Source organism: Homo sapiens, chromosome 7 (assembly GCF_000001405.40).
Source record: "Homo sapiens chromosome 7, GRCh38.p14 Primary Assembly".
Classification (NCBI taxonomy): Eukaryota; Metazoa; Chordata; class Mammalia; order Primates; family Hominidae; genus Homo; species Homo sapiens.
This window is the reverse complement of record NC_000007.14, coordinates 154,996,710-155,018,050: the sequence shown is the minus strand read 5'-3', so window position 1 is coordinate 155,018,050 and position 21,341 is coordinate 154,996,710. Positions and strand designations below refer to the sequence as shown.

Genomic DNA, 21,341 nt, shown 5'->3' with positions numbered 1-21,341 from the left:
AACTCTGGCCTGCTACCTGGTTTTGTACATAAAGTTTTATTGGAACGCAGTCTTGCTCATTTTTACACAGAGTGTCTGTGGCTGCTTTCACACTGCAATAGCAGAGTTGAGAAGTCACAAGAGAGATTGTATAAACCACAATGCCTAAAATATTTTCTATCTGGGCCTTTACAGAAAAATGTTTGCTGACCCCTGATCTAACCTTCCCAAACGTGTTTCCCCAGCTGTAAAGTATAATGAAATAGAACAAGGAAACCTTATTAGAATAAGTTTTAAATTTGTATTCTGATGATTATCTTTAAAGAGGCCCTAAAAGGTGAAAAATCCCTGGCAGTGATGTTAATTCATTCAAAATGCATCCATCCACTCCTTAAATATTTACTCATCATCCATTTGACATCAGGCCTCATACTAAATATGGAAGAGAATATGTGTTAAGGGAAAATAAAACTTGTTTTAGGCCAGGTGCAGTGGCTTACGCCTGATATCCTAGCACTTTGGGAGGCCAAGGCAGGAGAATGGCTTGAGCTCAGGAGTTCGAGACCAACTTGGGCAACCAGTGGACCCCATTTCCCTTTTAGTTTTTTTGTTTTTTTGTTTGTTTTGTTTTGTTTTGTTTTGAGACAGAGTCTTGCTCTGTCACCCAGACTGGAGTGCAGTGGCACCACCACGGCCCACTGCAACCTTCACCTCCCGGGTTCAAGCGATTCTCCTGCCTCAGCCTCCTGGAGTAGCTGGGATTACAGGCGCCTGCCACTGTGCCTGACTAATTTTTGTATTTTTAGTAGAGACGGGGTTTCACTATGTTGGCCAAGCTGGTCTCAAACTCCTGACCTCAAGTGATCCACCAGCTTCAGCCTCCCAGAGTGCTGGGATTACAGGCATGAGCCACCGTAGCTGGTCTGAGACCCCATTTCTACACAAAATGTAAAAAGTAGCCAGTGGTGTGTACCTGTGGTCCCATCTACTTGGGAGACTGAGGTGGGAAGGTCCCTTGGGTGCTGTGAAGTCGAGGCTGCAGTGAGCTGTGATGGCGCCACTGCACTTTCAGCCTGGGCAACAGAGCAAGACCCTGTCTTAAAAACAAAAACTTGTTTTAGTCTTGGAGGGGTTGGGAGTGGGGTGGTGGTGGTGATGCAATGGCAAAGTATTTTAGAATACAGTCTTTTTGATACTTTAAATATAAGTATTGGGATGAAGGCAAGCTCTCACATTTGAGGCTCCCTCCAGCCTTGTTTGTACTCCTTACCCTGAAAATGGTTCACAGCAGCACCACACCAGACATTATGTTGGGTGAGATGAACTCTCTCACATGTGGTTGAGTTAGTCATCCTTGATCCAAGCCAAAGAGCCGCCAGTTATATAATTCATTTATATTTATGTAAATCACAGTAGAAGAGACCAAAGAAATTCTTTCTCAAGGCATCAGAGATGTTTCATAAAATGGGACATCTAAGGTTGGCCATAGGAAGAGCAGGTGCGATTTGTGCAGGTGCATGAGTGCAGAGGGTTGCTGGTGATGGAACACAGCCATGGCTGCGGTGGGAAAGTTCTGGATGTGTTTGGAGAGTCAAGTGCTGTAGTCTAGTCTGCTAAGAGTGGGAGGACATGGGCCTAGTGTGCTCGGGCTACGGTGTACAAAGGTGGGGTGTATGGTGGAAAGCAACAGCTTAGAGAGTTCTCTGAAAGGCAGGCTAAGGTGACTGAACTTCAGTCTACAAGTGGTGGGAAACTATGGGACATTTTGGAACCAGAGCATTGAGTCAGCATTGTCTAGCTAGTACTTTTTTGGATATTGTGGAACTAGCAGCACTATTTTGCCTGCTATTATACACTGAATAGGGGCAGGCCAGGCACGGTGGCTCACGCCTGTAATCCCAGCACTTTGGGAGGCCGAGGCCGGCAGATCGCTTGAGGTCAGGAGTTTGAGACCAGCCTGGCCAACATGATGAGACCCCGTCTCTACTAAAAATACAAAAATTAGCCAGGCGTGGTGGCACGTGTCTGTACTCTCAGCTACGTGGGAGACTGAGGCAGGAGAATTGCTTGAACCCGGGAGGCGGAGGTTGCAGTGAGCCAAGATTGCAGCACTGCACTCCACCCTGAGTGACAGGGTGAGACCTTGTCTCAATAAAACAAAAAATAAAATAAAAATAAAATAAAATAAACAGAATAAGGGCAGATATTTTCCAAATGGAATCAAATGGAATACCAGTTTTTACTGTCTCAACTTCAGCCTGTAAATTTTTTTGATAGGAATTGAAAATAGTAGGATTCTAATTTATGAGAAATATGGACAGTCATTTCTTCATATAAAGCTTTTCCCCGAAGGTCTCCAATCTGCTTCTTTGTACATGTCTCCCGCGCTCCATCCCGCAACATCTTCCTCCAGGCAGGAGCTGACTGCTAGTCCTGCCAGCCCACCATGCTCATTCCCAAGCCCAGGCCTCTGCTCAGGCTTCTCTTCCACAGGGAACAGGCATCCTTCTCTTCCTGTTGATCTTCGAAGGTCTCTCAAGACCCCTCCTCTAAGACAACCTCCCAAAACATCCCTGTCTCCGTCGCATCTCACACTTTGTATTCCATTACTCTATGCAACTCACGTTGGCATTTGATATGCTGCTTACAGGCTGGAACTCAGTCACTCCATGGACGGGCCTTGACTGCAACACAAAGCCTATATGCAATGCACCTACGTGCTCAGTACAGGTTTGTTCAACTACAGTGGATTTCCTATCATCAGACCACTTCACTGGACTACATGCGTTGGGCTTGTGTTTTAAACCATACCAGTACCCAAGCTTTACTCACATAACCTCTTGATGGATCAGGGTCTCTCCCAGGTAGTGGTGCTGTGGATAAGGAGCAATGCAGAGACAGGGAGAAATGGGCAACAGTGTCCTCTCTCTGTCCGTGTCTGCCTGCAGAGTTCTGGCTGCTCAAATCTCCGTGCAGAGGCCCTTCTAAAGTGGGAAGAGAAGGCAAATTCAGCCATTTTGTAGATGCAGCCTCATTTTTGCTCTCGGAAAACACATCACTACATGAAAACATAGTTATCCACAAATTGTTTGTATTTATAAACATGAAATAACATGGCTTATTGATTTCCTCAAGCCATATAGCTGCTAGGCTTATCAATCTGTTATTTCTTCCCAAAATGTCATCCATTTAGTCCACCGGCAAGTCTGAGGAAAAACTAAATATTTTATTATGCCATTTATACCAGATGATAGTTTCAGAAGCTCTCCTTTTCATTATAATTATTTAGTATTATTTGATGCATCATGATTATTTTATTGTCTATAACTGAGATCATGTGACAGGGCTATTTCTTATAGAAGTCTATGTTCTAGGATGTATTTTATCCTTAAACAAAGGACATATCCATTGAGTTCAAATTGGACAGAAATTATGGAGTCTCAACTCAAGTTTTTACATGCATCATGGTTCAAAACAAGTAAGAAATACCTTTGCAAGTATCTGATATCTCACCTAAAATTCCCCTTAATCTGTCTTATTCCTGCCACTGATCATAAAACAATAAGTGTAAGACTTGGCAATATCCCCTCTTGTCATAAGCTTTCCAATTATTGAAAATTAAGTAACTCCCCATAGATGAGAAATCATTAAATATATAGTAAATAATGAGGTTAATTAATTTAACCCCTTCTAATTAGGAAACTAATTAAATCAGAAAATTAAAACTGACGCGAGACATTAAACATAAAATTGTCTCTTCCACTTCAACCACTTCCAAAAGAGAAATATGTATTAGCTACAAAAAATATAAATCTGTATACTCTTTTCAACCAAAATAAAGTTAGATTTTTCCGTAGTATAAATATTACTTTTAGAGAGTTTTCCTCTTTTCTATTTCTATTGTATATGAAATTAAAACTCTTTCCTTTCAATGTTTTTAAAGAATGAATTAGAATAAGTCTAAAAAGGAGAGCGTAACCCAGACTCTGCCAGTAACTGTGACAATGAGAAACTCACTTGAATTCCTTGGGCCTCACCTTTCTCAACCTTAGTGTAGTCTCTGAAAGAAGTGAGATTGACTCCCGTCATCTTGGAGACGGACACAGTGTTAAACAGGAGCAACAGACGAGGCAGTTAGAGTTAGAGAAGCTGTTAAAATCTTTTCAGGGTGTTATGATACAGAACTAGATCTTGGCTTGGGATCTTCATTAATTAGCTGGTGAAATGTCTGAGATAAATTAAAGAGATTTTGCAAACAAGCCCAATTCTCTCTTCAACCCCAAACTGTCATGCCTGTCAACATTATTTTTGGATATAAATTCCTAACCTCTGGGAAATGTCTCAGAACAACAACCAAATAAAGAAAAAGGTTGGGTTGCTTGGTGCCATTAAAAATAATTTTTCTTTTCTTTCTTTCTTTTTTTTTCTTATTAAGACAGAGTCACTCTGTTGCCTAGGCTAGAAGTGCAGTAGTATGCTCTCGGTTCACTGCAACCTCCACCTCTTGGGTTTAAGTGATTATCGTGCCTCAGCCTCCCAAGTAGCTGGGATTACAGGCACTCACCACCACAACTGGCTAATTTTTGTATTTTTAGTAGAGACAGGTTTTCACCACGTTGGCCAGGCTGGTCTCGAACTCCTGACCTCAAACTATCCACCTGCCTTGGCCTCCCAAAGTGCTAGGATTACAGGTGTGAAAAAATGATTTTTCTAAGCTTGAAAATATCTAAGCAGGTATCCTGCCAGGAGTATTTTTTTACATTGTTCTCAGGCTCCATGCAACTGACAAGCACGTGGTGCACTCTGCGGGGTGGGAGTCGGTGAGCGAATACGGATTCCCAAAAGCCAGCGCCATAAATCATTTGCCAGCAGAGAATACCTTCGATAGACACTTGGTCTTGCTTACAGGAAGGTGAGTAGCCCCAATTTGCAGGGAATCTCCCAAATTTCAGGACTCTCTTACTTCAGTGTGTATTTCCTACACCTGGGACCTAGGAACTCCCACAGGAATTAAGTGTAGCCCATCTAATTAAGGTGTTGGAAAGCACCAGTAGAAGCAGATGGGGCACAATTTCTTCTCCAAAACTTGAATCCTTAATTCATTCATTTTTTAATTAGTGTAAACAAGTGTGTTCAATTGGCATGTTAATGCTGCTGGGTGTTTTTAATCAAATGACCAATACAATTTGTGACAACAGTTTTATTTTCACATGCTTCAAAGGCGATAAATGAAACAATAGAAGTCTTCAATCACCCTACAGGCTGGCCACTCCTGACTTAGAAAATTTTGTTATTTCCTAGATTAGTATTTTCGTTTTAGTCCTAGGACTTGTCCATCTCTATGCTAGACCTACAAAGGTTAGGTCTAAATCAACTGTTTTGTAAAAGAAGCCGTTCCTCTGTGTATACACGCCTCTTTCTGAGAAGATGCAGGTACGAGTCCCATGCTGGGCTGTCTCCCTGCTGGTTCACAGAATCTGAACAAGTACAGCTTCTAGATGCCACCTAATGATGTCAGTTAAGCTAGTGCTCAGTTGTGTGTGCAAAGTTACTGGGAGTAATTTAGCTGCCCCAGACAAATGTAGATAACACAGTGTGAAGAATCATTAACTTTAAAGAACCAGCAATTGGTAAACATATTAATGCTTTCTGGAAAACTATAGGGAATTACTTGCTGGGCAGATGACACAGTTCTGAATAATGAAAGTCCACTGTGATGTACTAGAAACCATGGCATTATCCTAACTCTTAAGATGCTCTCGGAGGACTGTGAACTGTGCCTTTAGCCACAACCAAAACCCAACCAAAGAAACAAGAGCCACAACACCACTTTTCCACTGCAGTCGCTTGTTGCGTGTTGTTCCCCACCATGGGTTGCTTTCCTGTAGGATTACAGTTCCTGCCCTGTTCACTGCGGGCTTCACCTTGTGACTTGCTTTGGCTCTGGCTTGGGTTCTCTGAATTGCCCCTCTCAGAGCAGGGCCTGAGCAAGGGCTTGTGTGCAAATTGTTTAACTGGGAAAGTGACCCCAGGGAGCAGGGGTGCAGGTGCAGGGGGTGAAACAGGGAGGGTGGGATGTGTGACCAAACTGGCCACCCAATGGGACTCAGTGCAAGATCAATGGGGCCTTTTCTGAGGAGCCTGGTGAAATGTCTCAAAAAATGGGGCAAAGAAAGGAAAGCTTTTACCCATGGGTTCTCACCCCGCAGTGATCAAGTAGCTTCACAAGCTAACTCCTCGAACCTCACCCTTGTGCCTGTGAGCACAGACTCATGAGATTCAGAAGTTTTGTGTAGCTGCAACGTAATTTATTGAAGTTTAACTGGTAGTGGCAGTTGAGGTGGGGAACCCTTCCCACATCCACCCACGGGGATGTCCGTAGCGCTCTGGACCAGTGACTGGGTCAGGCTGCATTCATTCTCCCTGTTCTCAATGGAGTGATCTTTCCCAGCTCCACCGCACGTCGGGGAAGACGGGCATCCATCTGTGACTAGACTGAGAGAAGACACATCTAGAGTTGCTGTAGAGGCCCCCATGAGTGCCTGCACTTTGGGCCTGATGCTATAATTGAGTGGAATTTTTGCAATTTCTTCTCAAAAGACACAGATGTGGAGTGCAGAAGGGACACACATTCACATTTGTGACTGAGAGGGAACATGGGTAGAACATACTGCTGTCCTCAGTTACCTGCTGTATTCCCAGGAAGAGGATGACATACCCCTGCCCACTCTGCCATGACCTGGAGTAACTTCCTGTGGCAGGAACAGATTCACTTCCACATTGACATCAGGTTTGGCAATGAGACTGACTTTCAAATGGAATGTGTGTGAATTCCAGAGAGAATTTTTATAGCTATTACGCGGTTCTGCCATTCTTCTTTCCCCTTGGTCACTAGAACTGCCTATGCCTTCTGCAGAGTTTCCAGAAAAAAGAGCAGCAGAGCCACGCCTGCCCAACACATGAGTGAGAAGCGAGCTTTGTTGAAGCCACTGAACTTTGGGAGTTAGTTCCCACAGCATAAGCTAGCAGGGAAAGCTTTTACCACTTGACGCACCCGGGCTTCAAATGACCACTGGATGTGTATATGCTAATAGGAAAAGAGAGAAAACGTAAAGAAACGAAAGTGAGGACTTGAAATAATTTTATCTTAATAGACTTATCACGCAGTTCTTGGGCACTCAACGTCAGTTACAAATCCTGGGGTCACTCTTAGGCTGTAACAATTTCTCGTTATTATAATTTTTAGCAGGGCACACATAGTACGCTGTTTGGCTTAAATCCACTCCAAACATGGGCCGACATCTTAATTTCTAGCTTCCTCTTGACTACCCTTCAGACATACTGAATGTTAGCTTGCTAGGGCTACTGTAACAAAGTGCCACATACTGGCAGCTTAAACAATAGACATTCATTCTCTCAGTTCTGGAGGCCAGAAATCGAAGATGAAGGTGGTGGCCAGGCTGTGCTTTCTCTGAAGGCGTTAGGGGAGAGGCGGTCCTGGCCTCTTCCAGCTTCTGGTGTCTGCCGCAACCTTGGTGTTCCTCAGCTTCTAGACACGTCACCCCAACCCTTGTCGCGGTCATCACTTGGCACTCTCCTGGGTGTCTGTGTTCAAATTTTCTTCTTCTTATATGAACACCAGTGACAGGATTTAGGTCCCATCCTCATCCAGTAGGACCTCATCTTAATGATGGGGGCAAAGACCCTACTTCCAAATAAGGTCACACTCACAGGTACCAGCGGTTAAAATCTGAGTTAAGATTCAATATGTCTTCTTGTTTACCCACAACATGAGTAAACAGTCAATCCCACAGCCAGCTTGTCACAAAGTACTTAACTTTAAATAGCTGGTAAGCAATTTTCTTTTCTGTTTTCACAGCCACAGAATTATGCTAAGTCTCAAATGCAACAACTTCCTCTGATGAGGTCTCAAGATCTTCATACGCTAGACACAGTCTATTATTTCTTATTACTCCCCATTTCTATCTTAAATCATCAGTTATTTAATATCCAAAATGTGCACCCTTTTATTTGGCAATATCAGTATTCTGGCCTCTTTTCAGTGGTTTCTCCTCTCCCTTCAAGAACTATTCCCCTCAGCCCGCTCCATCCAAGAGGTTTCCCCCAGCTATTCTGGCACATGGGAACCTCTTTTCTAAATCTCTGCTGCATTTCTACAGAATCCCACTAGTGTTAGGCTCGTGCATCCAAGTATTTGTTAGTTTTTTGAGAGCAGACACAATATTTTAAGAATTTCTCATTGTCCCTGTAAGAGTTTCCTGTCCATCACAACAGGGTCACCACTGGGGGCAGCACACTCAAATTACAATCATCTAAGAAGGTTTATCAAGGAACTACTTACAAAGGTGTAGGCAGGATGCATGGAGAGTGAAGGGACCTGTGGGGAGAAGCAGGTGAGCCCTCACCACCCTAGGTCCAAGGGATGAGAGGAAGGAAAGATTCCCAGGACCTGGAAGGAGAGAGTTGTATAGAATGGGCTCCTCTGCCAGCTCAAGGCAACCTGATGAGGAACCTGGGAAATAAACACCGTCATACCTCTCTCCTCCCTCCCCTCACTGCCCAGCTTTCTGCTGGGACTCCCCATTGACCAAATTCAACTAGAAGCCAATGTGCAAGGGATTCTACTTATATAATCTGCTCAGGTCAGCACCCAGGGGCGGAGAAAAAGGTGGAGCAGGATGGAGTACAGATCTGACATGGGGAGTGGGACAAATGGAAGGCATCTAACACATCCCTCACATGCCTCAGAGAACTACCTTGTGTTTGCTTTTTAAAAATAATGCTGTTTCTTTGTTGTTTGTTTTTGAGATAGACTCTCACTTTGTGGCCCAGACTGGCATGATCTCAGCTCACTGCAACCTCTGCCTCCCAGGTTCAAGCGATCCTTGTGGCTCAGTCTCCTGGGTAGCTGGGATTCCAGGCGTGCACCACCATGCCTGGCTAATTTTTTTGTATTTTCAGTAGAGATGGGGTTTTACCATTTGGCCAGGCGGGAAAAAGAATACGCTTAATCCTCTATGTATAAAGCCAGTAACCTCAAATTCAACAAATATCTATTGAGTAGCTAACGGGTATTTTTTTTGAAATTATCTTTGAGAATTTTGTTTTATATTACACTAATCTTAATTCATATAAGAATTTTTTTGAAAACCAAAAATGGCAAAAATTGGCAAGATACCATCAATGCCATTTTCTTTTCTTGGACGTGTAAGAAGACCACATCACCCAGCAGTCTCCTTTACAGCTTACGGAGGTGTCAGGAGACCAGGTTCTGGCCAGTGGAAATGGCTGGAGGTATGTGTGCCACTCTTGCTAGCTCAGCCATAGAAACTGCAGCAGGATACTCTACATGCTTTGTCCCCATCTGTACAGCTAACAAAGCCACATGACAGAAGCCAAGTCCCATTTGGAAGAAAGCTGTCCGAAGGAAGCCACCAAGGCGTTATGTGCAAGAAACTTTCTTTTTCGTTTTTTTTTGAGACAGAGTCTAGATCTGTCACCCAGGATGGAGTGCAGTGGTGCAATCTTGACTCAATGCAACCTCCACCTCACCGGTTCAAGCCATTCTCGTGCCTCAGCCTCCCGAGTAGCTGGGATTACAGGTGCGCACCACCATGCTCAACTAGTTTTTGTATTTTTAGTAAGAGATGAGGTTTCACCATGTTAGCCAGGCTGGTCTCGAACTCCTGACCTAAGTGATCCACCTGCCTCGGGCACCCAAAGTGTTGGGATTACAGGCATGAGCCACTGTGCCCGGTGGAAACTTTCAAAGTCTTATCCCACTGAAATGTAGTTACAACATGATCTTAATCCGGGTTTCTCAACAGTGGCACTATTGACATTTTGCACGGGTCCTTTGTCATGGAGGACGGTCCCATGCGTTGCGTGATGTTTAGCAGCTTCCTATCCTCCACCACTAGATGCCAGTAGCATCCCCTACCCCCTAGTTGTGACAACCAAAAATGTCTCCAGACGTTGTCAAATGTGCCATAGGGGGCTAAATTGCCCATGGTTGAGAATCGCTGATCCTGTTACCGCACTGTTCTCAGAGTGACGGGAGACAGGTATGGGACGTCGTTTCTAACCTTAAAGGATGGAACATTATAATACGTTATACATGTATTTTAAGATGATTGCTTCATTGGAGTACTGTAATTGTTAAATTGGAAACAACAAATGTGCAACAATACAGAATATTGTACATTCAAACAAGGGAGTATTATGTATTCATTAAATGATATAGATATTTATTGACATGGAAAAACAGTCTTGATTTTTTTGAAGTGGCAGAGTATGGGGTATAATTTTTTTTAGGGAAATATATTTATACGGGACAATGTCTAGAAGGATTTCCATAGTGGTTGCTTCTGGGCATAGAATTTGAGGTAATTTACAATTTCTCTTCACTTGTGATTTCTAGTTTTCCGACACTGAATAGCTACATGACACTGGTGGCAGCTGTGCCCCGCAGGTCCACTGACGGGATCTTTCCTGCAGAGAAGCAGTGCTCCTTTGAGTTCGCAGTTTCTCCTTCAACTAAACTATGGCCTGTTTGTGCCTGCAACTGGAGTATTCTGACCCTTTCATGAGAAGGTTAAATGTTGTCTATAAACCCAAACTGAAGGTTTACTAAACATTAAAAATATCTAATTTTAAGGGATGTATGGATAGCTGAACAGGAGAGATGAAGACTGAGACTGTTGTATACAATATAGAAATACATTTAAAAAAAGCCATTTGGAAATAATCTAAGTAACTGCCTCGAGTTTCCACCAGTAAGGGCAATTTGAGTTAAATATCCCCAAATCTACTTTTTTTTTTCTAATTTTTTATTTTTCCTAGGCTTAGGTTATCTAATTTTGCCAAATAGAAAATGAGAAACATATTTACTGAACTAGCACTGGCAGTAAGCAGGCTGTTTAATTCTCCAAAGGCTGATTATCAACAAAATGATCATGCTTTTAATTTACCTGGGGGAAGTCTAAAAATATTAATGCTCAGTGTCATATTTGGAAGTGGTATATGCTTCAAATTAAACAAATGCATAGCTTCTGTTTAATAAACTGATAGCTATCACCCTAAAATGGGTCATCCTTAAAGTGTCACAAAACCAGTGATAAGAATTTTATTTAACTGTGAATAAGATACAGCACTGTCAACATGATATTTTGTTCCTATAACTTTGCATATGGCCATTTTGGGGAAGATAATTTCTGAGTTTACCGCTTGCCTTTAAATATTGACTTGCCATCTTTACGTCCTCTGCTAGATGGGTTACTCTTCATGATGTCAGGATGCTAGTTTTTTAGACTGCCTCAGAGCATCCTTTATCCACATGAAATTAACCTAATGTAAACATTTTTATTTTTCATTACTGGCCAAGCAGTAGTATTGGAGACTCAGTGAGTGAGTGTGACACTGCCTCCAGGCCTTCCTGATGCTGTTGCCGTAAGATCCACTTGTGTGGACCGCCTTGCACAGTTCACGTGTGATATTTTACAAATACTGACTAGGTGATGGGGTTTTAAATAGCAGATTTATTTATTTATTTAGAGTCTCACTCTGCCACCTAAGCTGGAGTGCAGTGGTGTGATCTCTGCTCTCTGCAACCTCTGCTTCCCGGGTTCAAGTGATTCTCCTGCCTCAGCTTCCCAAGAAGGTAGGATTACAGGTGCACGCCACCATGCCCAGCTAATTTTTGTTTTTAGTAGAGACTGGCTTTCACCATGTTGGCCAGGCTGGTGTTGAACTCCTGACCTCCAGTGATCTGCCTGCCTTGGCCTCCCAAAGTGCTGGGATTATAGGGGTGAGCCACCACGCTGGCCTTAAATAGCAGGTTTCTTAATCCCGCAATTTGCCTTACCATCAGAACCTGAAGTAGGGTAAGCTTGTTCTCTTGAACGTTACAAATTGCTTTCTTAATTCACAAAATAAAATACCTGGTTGAGGTCCACTTCAGGTCTTTTAACATAAAATCACATGCTTAGTTTGTGTTTAACCAAGAAAATCAAAGGGAGGGCCGGGTGTGATGGCTCACGCCTTTAACCCCAGCACTTTGGGAGGCCGAGGCAGAAGGATCACAAGGTCAGGAGTTCAAGACCAGCCTGGCCAACATAGTGAAAACCTGTCTCTACTAAAAATACCAAAATTAGCCAGGTGTGGTGGCACGCACCTGTAGTCCCAGCTACTTGGGAGGCTGAGGTGGGAGAATCGCTTGAACCCAGGGGGTGGAAGTTGTAGTGAGCTGAGACCACGCCATTGCACTCCAGCCTGGGTGAGAGTGGGACTCCGTTTCAAAAAAAAGAAAGAAAAAGAAAAGGATAAATAAGTTCTCTCACACAGGTCGATAAAAAGGCAGCATGATCTGTATTTGGATCTAATGTATTTATTACACTGATATATGCCCAACATAGAACATTAAACATCAGAATGATAAACATATACCAGAATATATCAAATATATTCTTAGGTATTAAAAGGTTTCCTGATTACAAAGGGTGTCATAAAAATTTAAGGATGGATGACAAATTCTTGGTTTTTCCTTCAGGCAAGCACTGAGTGTTTTTATTACAGGTTGAGTAACCTTTATCTGAAATGCTTGGGACAAAAGTATTTCAGATATTTTTGATTTGGAATATTTGCATATACATAATAAGATATCTTGGGGATGGGACCCAAGTCTAAATGGGAAATTCATTTGTTTCACATACACCTTACCTTACCCACATAGCCTGAAGGTAAGGTTATATTATATATTTTAAATAATTTTGTGCATGAAACAAAGTTTTGATGGCGTTTTAAAAAAAAATGTTTTCATTGTTTTTTTTGTTTTGGTTTTTGTTTTTTTACAGACAGGGTCTGGCTATATCGTCCAGGCTGGACTCAAACTCCTGGGCTCAAGCAATCCTCCTGCTCAACCTCCCGAGTAGCTGGCACTACAGGTGCCCACCACACCAGGCTTGATTGTGACTTGACTGTCACCCAGTGTCACATGAGGGCAAGTGTGGAATTTTCCATTTGTGGGGTCACGTCAGTACTCAAAAAAATTCGAATTTTAGAGCATTTTGGATTTCAGATTAGGAATGTTTAACCTAAGTTTGTAAAGGAAATTTTTTAGCCTTAGAATAGGGATGTTTCAGATTGTTCAAGAGACAAATGAAAGACTAAAACAACCAGAAAACATTGGAATGATAAATCATTAAGTATATTTAAATGTGCGTTGTTTACCTCCTGCCCATACAAAACCACTCATGACATACATACAAATGTAAGGACAAAACTGTAGTCACCTGATTAACAAGAGCCAGAGTTCATTGCATGCTGATCAACGAACCAACACAACTTTTATCATACACTAAAAAAAGGGTAGAACAAAGGCCAACTTAAAGCCTGGAAAGTGATCTAATCTGTTAAATTAGTGTACCGCAGAGTAATTTTGAAAGCCTTCTCGTTTTGTTTTGTTTTTTTTCAGAGACAGAGTCTCGCTCTGTCGCCCAGGCTGGAGTGCAGCGGCGCGATCTCGGCTCATTGCAACCTCCCCCACCCGAGTTCAAGCCATTCTCCTGCCTCAGCCTCCTGAGTAGCTGGGACTACAGGCGCGTGCCGCCACGCCCGGCTAATTTTTTGTATTTTAGTAGGGACGGGGTTTCACCGTGTCGCCCAGGCTGGTCTCGAACTCCTGAACTCAGGCAATCCGCCCACCTCGGCCTCCTAAAGGATAGGATTACAGGCGTGAGCCACCGCGCCCGGCCCCTTCTCTTTTTTAAAACCAATTTCACTAACATTTACTTAAAAATGATTTTCTGCTTGGCAGAAGTGACTTAAGGCATGTGGGGGAGACACTGCGGGTCTGTCTCAGATTCCTTTAGACACCAATGCTCCACAGTTTTACGACTAGGTAATAGTCCGATAATCACCCATGAGTTCCTGGACTCCGGTTTGTTGTGGGATTGGAAATAAACGAGAAAGGCTGCGTTCATCATCATGGCCTTAATTTCTTCTCCCAACTTCCGGTCGTGCAGGTGTCTTGGGCAGGTGATCCCGAGGCCACTCTGCCGTGTTCTGTGAATCTTGGCGGAAGGGAGGCGAGCTGTAAATAAAAGCGTGACCATTAGAATCGCCGCTGTGTAGTATTAACCTGTTGAGCGCGGGGCTTCCCGGGGCTGGAGCTGCACCGCGGGCTCTGCTGTCTGGGACTCTCCTCCAGCGCGGACCCGACAGGACGCCAGGGACCAGGCCGGTCCGGCCGGGACAGCGGGGCCTCGGGCAGCGACGGGGCCGGGCCTCCCCCCAGCACGTCCCCAGCTCGGGCACTGAGGCCTTGCGGAGACCCCAGGACTCGCCGCGGAGGCCACCAGTGCGCGTCTCGCGTGGCGCTACGGCCTCGGGAATTCCGTCACGGCATAGCCGGGTCCAGCGCGGTGTAGACCGGGGCCCCGCGCCTTGCTCGGCCAGAGCGGCTCAGGTACTACTCCAGGTCCGGCCGCACTCGCGGCCACTGCGAACAGCCGGGACACCCAATCCCACTCCGCCCAGGGCCAAGAAGCCCGAGGAGGCCGCAGAACCGCTCCCGCTCCCACTCGCGGCCCCAAGGCCCCACCCCCCCCTCCGCCGCGCGCATGCGCCGCCCCCGAGCAGCCGCATGTGGCGACGGGAGGGGCCTGCCAGCTCCCCTCCTCCCCGGGACCGGCTCACTCCGGCCCCGCCGAGGGGGGAGCTGGTTTCCCCTCGTCCTCGGGGCCCCCTCGTTGCAGAGCGGCGGCCACGGAACCGCAAGGGCCAGAGCGGGCTGCCGGCGCCAGCTACCCCGGAGCCGTGGCTGGCGGCAGAGGCGCGGGGCGTCACTGGAGGCCGGGCGGCTCCTCGGCGCTCCCCCTCGGTGGCCGGGGCGGGATGGTGCGTCCCGCAGGGCGCGCGCGGCTCCCGCGCTTCGGGCGCTCGGCGCGGGCGCGGGCGGGGGCGCGGAGGGCGGGGGAGCGGACCCCGATTCGCAGGACCGGGCCCGGGCTGCGCGGGCAGGGCCGTTGGCGGGGCGAGTGGGGGCGCCGGGCGCCGCGGGGGCCGGGGGCGGGGGGTGGGCGGGGCCGGGCGCCGCCGCGGAGCCTCCCGGGCCGCCGCGATCATGTCGGACCAGGCGCCCAAAGTTCCTGAGGAGATGTTCAGGGAGGTCAAGTATTACGCGGTGGGCGACATCGACCCGCAGGTACCGCGCCCGCCCCTGCCGCGGCCTCCTCCCCCGTCCGCGTCCCCGTCCGTCCCCGTCCCCGTCCCCGTCCCCGCTCCTGCCGCGGGCGCGCGCCGGGCGCAGAGCGTCGGGTCCGCCGAGGCCGCTGGCCTGACTGCGCTGAGGGCAGGGGCGACCGCGGGGTGGGCGCGGGAGGCCCGGGCCCGGGGGAGTGCGGGAGGGAAGGCGGCTGGGGCTCTGTACCTCGGCCCCTAGTGCGCGCCCTGAGCCCCCGGCCTGCGGCCCTGGGGTCGCCGCCCCCGACCCACCGGGCCGCCTCGTTCTCTGCTCCTTTGCTGAGCGGGACGGGCGCGGGGTCGCGTCTCCCCATTCCCCGCGCCGGGCGTCTCGGCTCCCGGGAGAGCAGCTCCGAGGGCGGACGAGGGGCGCCGGGATCCCCAGCCGGGGCAGCTCGCGCGGGGACCCCAGCCTCGCTCGGCCGGCGGGGGTCGTGGCCGTGCACCGGCTTGGCCGCCTCCGCCACCCGGGCAGCTGCCGTCCTGTGCGGGGCTGAGGAGCGCTCCCTTCCAGCCTGTGTCCCTGCACGTGGGGGCTGGCATTCGTCTTCCTTGATTTTCCCACTTGGACGATTAATTTTACGGTACCCTGGTAACACCATCACATTACACATTTAATTTTGTGTAGTTTGGGCTCACGCCAAAGGATATTGTGGGTTTTCCTTAGTATTCCTATAATAATATATCTGTTTGATGTCACACAGTTATCAGTCCGTGGTAGGAATGCATCTTAGTTGAATATCCTCTTCAGGTTAATCTTCAAAATATTTCCTTCTTAAAAGTTTAGCTGTACAGTTGTGTTGCCTTGGGTGTGACATCAGTGGCCCCCACCTTGGAGGATGGGGATCCCCAGTGATCAGAGTTAGGCCTGGAAGGGCGGAGACTCATATTTCGCAGATGAACTTGGATGGTGTAGAAGGAATTGTAGAAGGCTGAGTGATCTTGGCCTTCTTGAGGTTCGTCCTTGTAACAACTTTTTGGACCCTTTTTGCCCTGTAACTTTAGGGTAAAGAGACTTCAAGGCCGGGTTTACCCCTGTAATCCCAGCACTTTGGGAGGCCAAGGCGGGTGGATCACCTGAGGTCATGAGTTCGAGACCAGCCTGGCCAACATGGTGAAGCCTCATCTCTACTAAAAATACAAAAATTAGCCGGGCGTGGTGGCGGGCGCCTGTGGTCTCAGCTACTCGGGAGGCTGAGGCAGGAGAATTGCTGGAACCTGGGAGGTGGAAGTTGCAGTGAGCCGAGATCGCGCCACTGCACTCCAGCCTGGGCAACAACAGCTAGACTCCGTCTCAAAAAAAAAAAAAAAGCCTTCTATCTTTGAATTTACAGAGTAAAACAGTTGCTGAACACGGAGCGATGAAGATGAGTGCCTGTAACAGTGTTAGCTTTTTCCAGTATTGATGATTCCCCCGCCCCTCTTTTTTTTGTTTGTTTTTTTGTTTTTGTTTTTTGCTATCCACCATTTTTCTCTTCCCCCTCCTTCCTAGCCTTCGTGTTTCATTTTAGGACTTTGGCTCTTATAGGGGACTTGAACCAAATGTTACTTAAAACCTGGAACAAGTTGAACTGGAACCATATTTACTCGACTTTGAATCAAATCTAAGTGCTTAAAAATGTCCTTGGCAAACCACTTTCATCTGAAACAGTATATTTTCTGAAAAGTTTTGAGCCTGGACATCTGATTCTCTGACTCTTATGACTGTGGATTATAAGTTCACATGTTGACCATCTAATATGAGGCAGGCATGGACTAGGTGCCAGGTATAATACAGAGGTGAAGAGGACATGGTACCTGCCCTTTAGCGCCCCTCATTGGTGGGGGAGGGAGCACACCTGGACATATCACAGTACAAGGTGTAGCAGATTTCTCCACTGGGGTGCAAAGTAGACACCACTGAAATGTCACTCAGTAGATGTCATTTCAGTTGGGTTTTGAGATAAGCAGAAGTTAAGAACATGAAGGAATATTTTCATGTGGAGCGTATGTGCTGAGGAATGAAGGCATTCATGCGTTTGGGATACATCAGGATGATCACTATATCTGGAACAGAGTGATATGAGATAAATCTATTAAGATACTCAGTAGTGTGGAGATTGAAGAGAAGCTATTGGTTTTGGCATCCTCAAAGTTCGTGAAAACCGAGTAAAGTGTTTTTGGTAGAGTGTTGGTGGAAGGGGCTGGATTGCAGGGAGTTGAAGAGTGAATGGAAACTGAGAACAGAAAGGTTAGACTCTTCAGGAAGTTTGTCCTGAGAAGGAAATAGAGAAGGTGCCTGAGGAAGAGAGGGCTGGGGAGGGATCTGTGTTGCATCACAAGCGCGTGGAAGGATGTGGGTGACTTTACTGTTTACAGGTGGAGGGAACATAGCTATGGACAGGGAAACTCATGAAGAAGGGAGTAGGATCAGAAACAGACTGGAGGATAGGAAAAGGAGGGGTGCCTTTTCTGAAGACCAGTCGAATGGATGCGTGAAGCTAAAAATGCTTAGAGGTCAAGGGAAGGAAGAAAGGTAAAGTGGCCCATGGCCAGTGACCGCTGTTTTTTCACTTACTAAATATTGAGCCTCTGCTCTAGTTCATATCTATTAGTGGTCGGTAAAGTATTCTGAAAAGGTTGTCTAGCTTGTGGGTGACTTTATTTTTTTTTGAGGTTGGAGCAAAAGTTTAATAAGTGAAAGAAGAAAGCTCTCTGCTGCAGAGAGGGGACCTGGAAGAGCGTTGCCCTGGTGGGTCACTTGAGCTTTGTGGGCACCATGTCACTTTGACAGTTGGTGTGCACTGTCAGCTTAGACACTGCCCACCTCTTCTGAAGCACTTGACTGTCGACTGTTCCTTAACCCTCACTTCCTTGGCTTCTGTTGACGCTCCTCTCCTGTGATACTGCACTTCCCTACCTGTCCCTGAAGTATCAGTTGCTGTGTCTGCTCTCTAGCTCCCCTCCCATTCTGCACTGCGACCACCTTCACGCTCATGGCTGTGGCTCCCATCTATGTAACAATGCTGATGACTTTCTGTCAGGGAGATCCACATCTTTTCCTAGCTGCAACTGGATGCCTCTTGCCAGATATTAACACGACCCCCAAAGAATGGCATGCCCAAACTAAAACACGTCCTTGTGTCCCCACCTGCCAGCCTTCTGATGTGTTCCTCAGTGAGTGGTACTCACCACCATTTCAGTCTGGACTTTGCTCTTTTGCTTATACCCCTTCCAGACACCAAGGCTTGCCGATTCTCTCACATCTTCCTCCTTTCTGCCCATCAGGACATCACTTTAGTGGATGCCTCTTTCACCTGGGTTATTGCACTTGTTTCTTAACAGGTCTCTTGTCTTTAGTCATCTAGCCAACCAAACACAGCCAGCCCACCCAATCCTTTCTTTTCACATGGACTGTCATCTTTGTATGAAATCTGTGCTACTTTTCCTGTGTGAAATCCTTCAGTGGCCCTGCATATACCCCAGAATGAAGCACAGACTTTTTTGCATAGTGTGTAAGAAAGCCCATTTACGGTCTGCTCTGTATTCACCTGTTCAGTGCCTTCAACACTGCTCCCTCTTCCTCGATGTATGGATTTTTGCCTAACACCCAGACGTTTATGAGGGTTCTGCTCACATATCTTGTCTTCCAGAATCTTTCCCTAATTATGAAACTCCCCATGTCCCAGTCTTTAAGTTGGAAGCTCAGGAGCACCATGTGCGTGGCCCCACCGCAGCAGTGGTTGTGCTGTCTCCTGGTTTGTCCAGCCCATCTGTCTTGAGGACAGACCATGTCCACTACTGGACTCACAATAGCCTCCATTACTTGGTCATTGACTTGGTCAGTGAATCAAGATTTGCTGCTTTTGATTGTCCCCGAAAGTTTCATTGGCATATTATTCAGAGTAAAAGGCTGTTAGTTTTTATGTGGGGAATATGGTGTGTTTTTATTAAAAAGTACTATTATGCCCAATAATTATTTCTGTAATTCAAGAGTACAGTACAGTATTGCCCATTTTAATTTGTGTGGATTTTCTTGTTTTTTAGGTTATTCAGCTTCTCAAGGCTGGAAAAGCGAAGGAAGTTTCCTACAATGCACTAGCCTCACACATAATCTCAGAGGATGGGGACAATCCAGAGGTGGGAGAAGCTCGGGAAGTCTTTGACTTACCTGTTGTAAAGGTCAGTAGTAAACATAATTTGTTTTATATCTTTTCCTCAGTATCTTGCAAGCAGTACATTGAAGTTTCACTATAGCTCTTTTCAGGGTTTTTGCTAAAGTCCTGTTTTATTTTATTTTTATTTTTTATTTATTTATTTTTTTGAGCTGGAATCTCGCTCTGTTGCCCAGGCTGGAGTGCAATGGCACGATCTCAGCTCACTGCAACCTCCGCCTCCCGGGTTCAAGTGATTCTCATGCCTCAGCCTCCTGAGTAGCTGGGATTACAAGTGCCTGCCACCACGCCTGGCTAATTTTTGTATTCTAGTAGAGACAGGGTTTCAACATGTTGGGCCAGGCTTGTCTTGAATTCCTGACCTCAGGTGATCCGCCTGCCTCAGCCTCCCAAAGTGCTGGGGTTACAGGCATGAGCCACCGTGCTGGCCCTAAAGTCCTGTTTTGTGTGGAAAGTTGCCAGATAACTGTGGACATCTTTAACGTCTGAGTAACTTCCCTTAGCTTCAGGTCCTTTCAGCTAAACCAAGGTAGAGCATGGCTTCTGTATGTCGTAAGTAATCCTAGGCCATCCTTTATGCCTGCTGCAGAACTCGTCCCACGTTACCACTGCCTGGAAGTTTTCTGAGCCAGGGAAACCTGTCATGGGAAACAGATCTGATGCCTTGAATCAGATGGGTGTTTGAATTATTGTAAGAGTGTATTTCATTCCAAAAGCAGGCTAAGGCCTGTCGGGAGGTAACTCTAGGACAGGGTTACTTTCCATCCCGACTGTGGCAAGGTGTTCTGAATTTCAGTTAGCTGAAGGGCGTCCCCCATTAACTATGTTGTGGAACTCCTTTCTGACAAGAGTCACAATGGCCTTTAGTCACATTGTCTACCCACTGGTCGTCTGGGGTGTATCCAACTTGACCTATGGGTAATTTATTGCAGAGAATGAGGGATTCAGCTAGTGGAAGAATTGTTCAGATTTTGTTTATCCACCTACTGTATTATGTTATGGCTGATAAGTTAGTTGACTTCTGTTAAAATGTGTGTTTTAAAAATTTGTTAAATTTTGTAATTCCAATGCTTCGATTTTATTTCAGATCTTCCCTATGAAGTATTTGTTTTAAAATAGTTCTATACCACTACCATTTTTTCCCTCTTCATGTTATTAAATGCTTTGCCTTAAAAAGAAATCAGTATGAAAGTTACTGTGGTTTAACAATAACAGTGTTAGGAATTAAGAAAGATTGCCAGCCTGGTGCAGTGGGACTCACCTGTAGTCCCAGCTACTTAGGAGGCTGAGGTGGAAGGATTGTTTGAGGCCAGGAGTTCAAGGCTGCCATGCACTGTGATCACACCTGTGAATAGCTACTGTACTCCAGTCTGGGTAACACAGTGAGACACCATCTCTTAAACAAAAAGAAAAAGGGAAAAAAATAGAAAGATTGCCATTAAGTCAAATTGCGGGGCCAGAGAAGCCACCTGGCTGCTGGGAAGTGGTGACCTCCCTGGTACCCAGGGTCGGAAACTGCCTTGGATGAGGTCCTGAGCTGGGGCACCCTCTTCTTTGGAACATGTTTTTGTCTCTGGCTTGCTTCCTTGTACTGCTTTAGGGACAGTATCTCTGTCTCTTCCTTCTCCTTCCTACAAACTTTCTTTCTCTCAGACAATAGCCTGGAGCTATTGTCTCAGTAAAGCGGCTTTGCATATCTTATGCAGATGTTATGTGAAAGGGTGATCTTTCTAACACATCCTTGGGGCCTAGGTGATTGTTGCCAGGCCAACTACCAGAAGTAGTTCTTAAACCTGCCTGACCCCAAACCACCTTTTTGTAATAAGTACTTTGTAGCACTCCCCTTATTATCCAGAAATGAATCGATACGTAAGCCAACCTTTAAAATATGTATATATAAATTGCCCAAACTGAAATGTGAAGGCGAAATAAAAGGCAAGTAAATAA

At 46.1% G+C, this 21,341-nt stretch overlaps 1 protein-coding gene and 1 long non-coding RNA gene across 4 annotated transcripts in view, besides 5 other annotated features; one reads left to right on the top strand and one right to left on the bottom strand.

Moving 5' to 3' along the window:
* Positions 12,348-14,618, bottom strand: PAXIP1-DT (PAXIP1 divergent transcript). The gene is given in 1 exon segment (NR_028090.1): positions 12,348-14,618. It is a non-coding gene; the product is annotated as a PAXIP1 divergent transcript (long non-coding RNA).
* Positions 13,531-14,032: an enhancer, noted in NCBI's record as "H3K4me1 hESC enhancer chr7:154795729-154796230 (GRCh37/hg19 assembly coordinates)". NCBI's record gives its function as "activates a minimal SCP1, AML or CMV promoter by ChIP-STARR-seq in naive H9 embryonic stem cells {active_cell/tissue: H9 hESC(naive)}" and the evidence as "EXISTENCE:reporter gene assay evidence [ECO:0000049][PMID:30033119]".
* Positions 14,277-14,356: a silencer, noted in NCBI's record as "silent region_18842". NCBI's record gives its function as "represses an Ori minimal core promoter by ATAC-STARR-seq in GM12878 lymphoblastoid cells {active_cell/tissue: GM12878}" and the evidence as "EXISTENCE:reporter gene assay evidence [ECO:0000049][PMID:35858748]".
* Positions 14,377-15,066: a silencer, noted in NCBI's record as "silent region_18841". NCBI's record gives its function as "represses an Ori minimal core promoter by ATAC-STARR-seq in GM12878 lymphoblastoid cells {active_cell/tissue: GM12878}" and the evidence as "EXISTENCE:reporter gene assay evidence [ECO:0000049][PMID:35858748]".
* The window catches only part of PAXIP1 (PAX interacting protein 1), a 59,722-nt gene continuing 53,020 nt past the window's right edge, over positions 14,640-21,341 (top strand). Inside the window, exons 1-2 of one of the 3 annotated variants that reach the window (XM_011515982.4) lie at positions 14,640-14,895; positions 19,267-19,401. In XM_011515982.4, coding sequence (XP_011514284.1) covers positions 14,893-14,895; positions 19,267-19,401 — 138 coding nt within the window. In that variant the 5' untranslated portion in view covers positions 14,640-14,892. Of the gene's footprint in view, positions 14,896-14,926; positions 15,203-16,511; positions 17,972-19,266; positions 19,402-21,341 lie in introns of those variants that run through there. The other 2 variants (NM_007349.4, XM_047420059.1) reach the window with 2 other exon arrangements.
* Positions 15,097-15,466: a silencer, noted in NCBI's record as "silent region_18840". NCBI's record gives its function as "represses an Ori minimal core promoter by ATAC-STARR-seq in GM12878 lymphoblastoid cells {active_cell/tissue: GM12878}" and the evidence as "EXISTENCE:reporter gene assay evidence [ECO:0000049][PMID:35858748]".
* Positions 15,637-15,786: a silencer, noted in NCBI's record as "silent region_18839". NCBI's record gives its function as "represses an Ori minimal core promoter by ATAC-STARR-seq in GM12878 lymphoblastoid cells {active_cell/tissue: GM12878}" and the evidence as "EXISTENCE:reporter gene assay evidence [ECO:0000049][PMID:35858748]".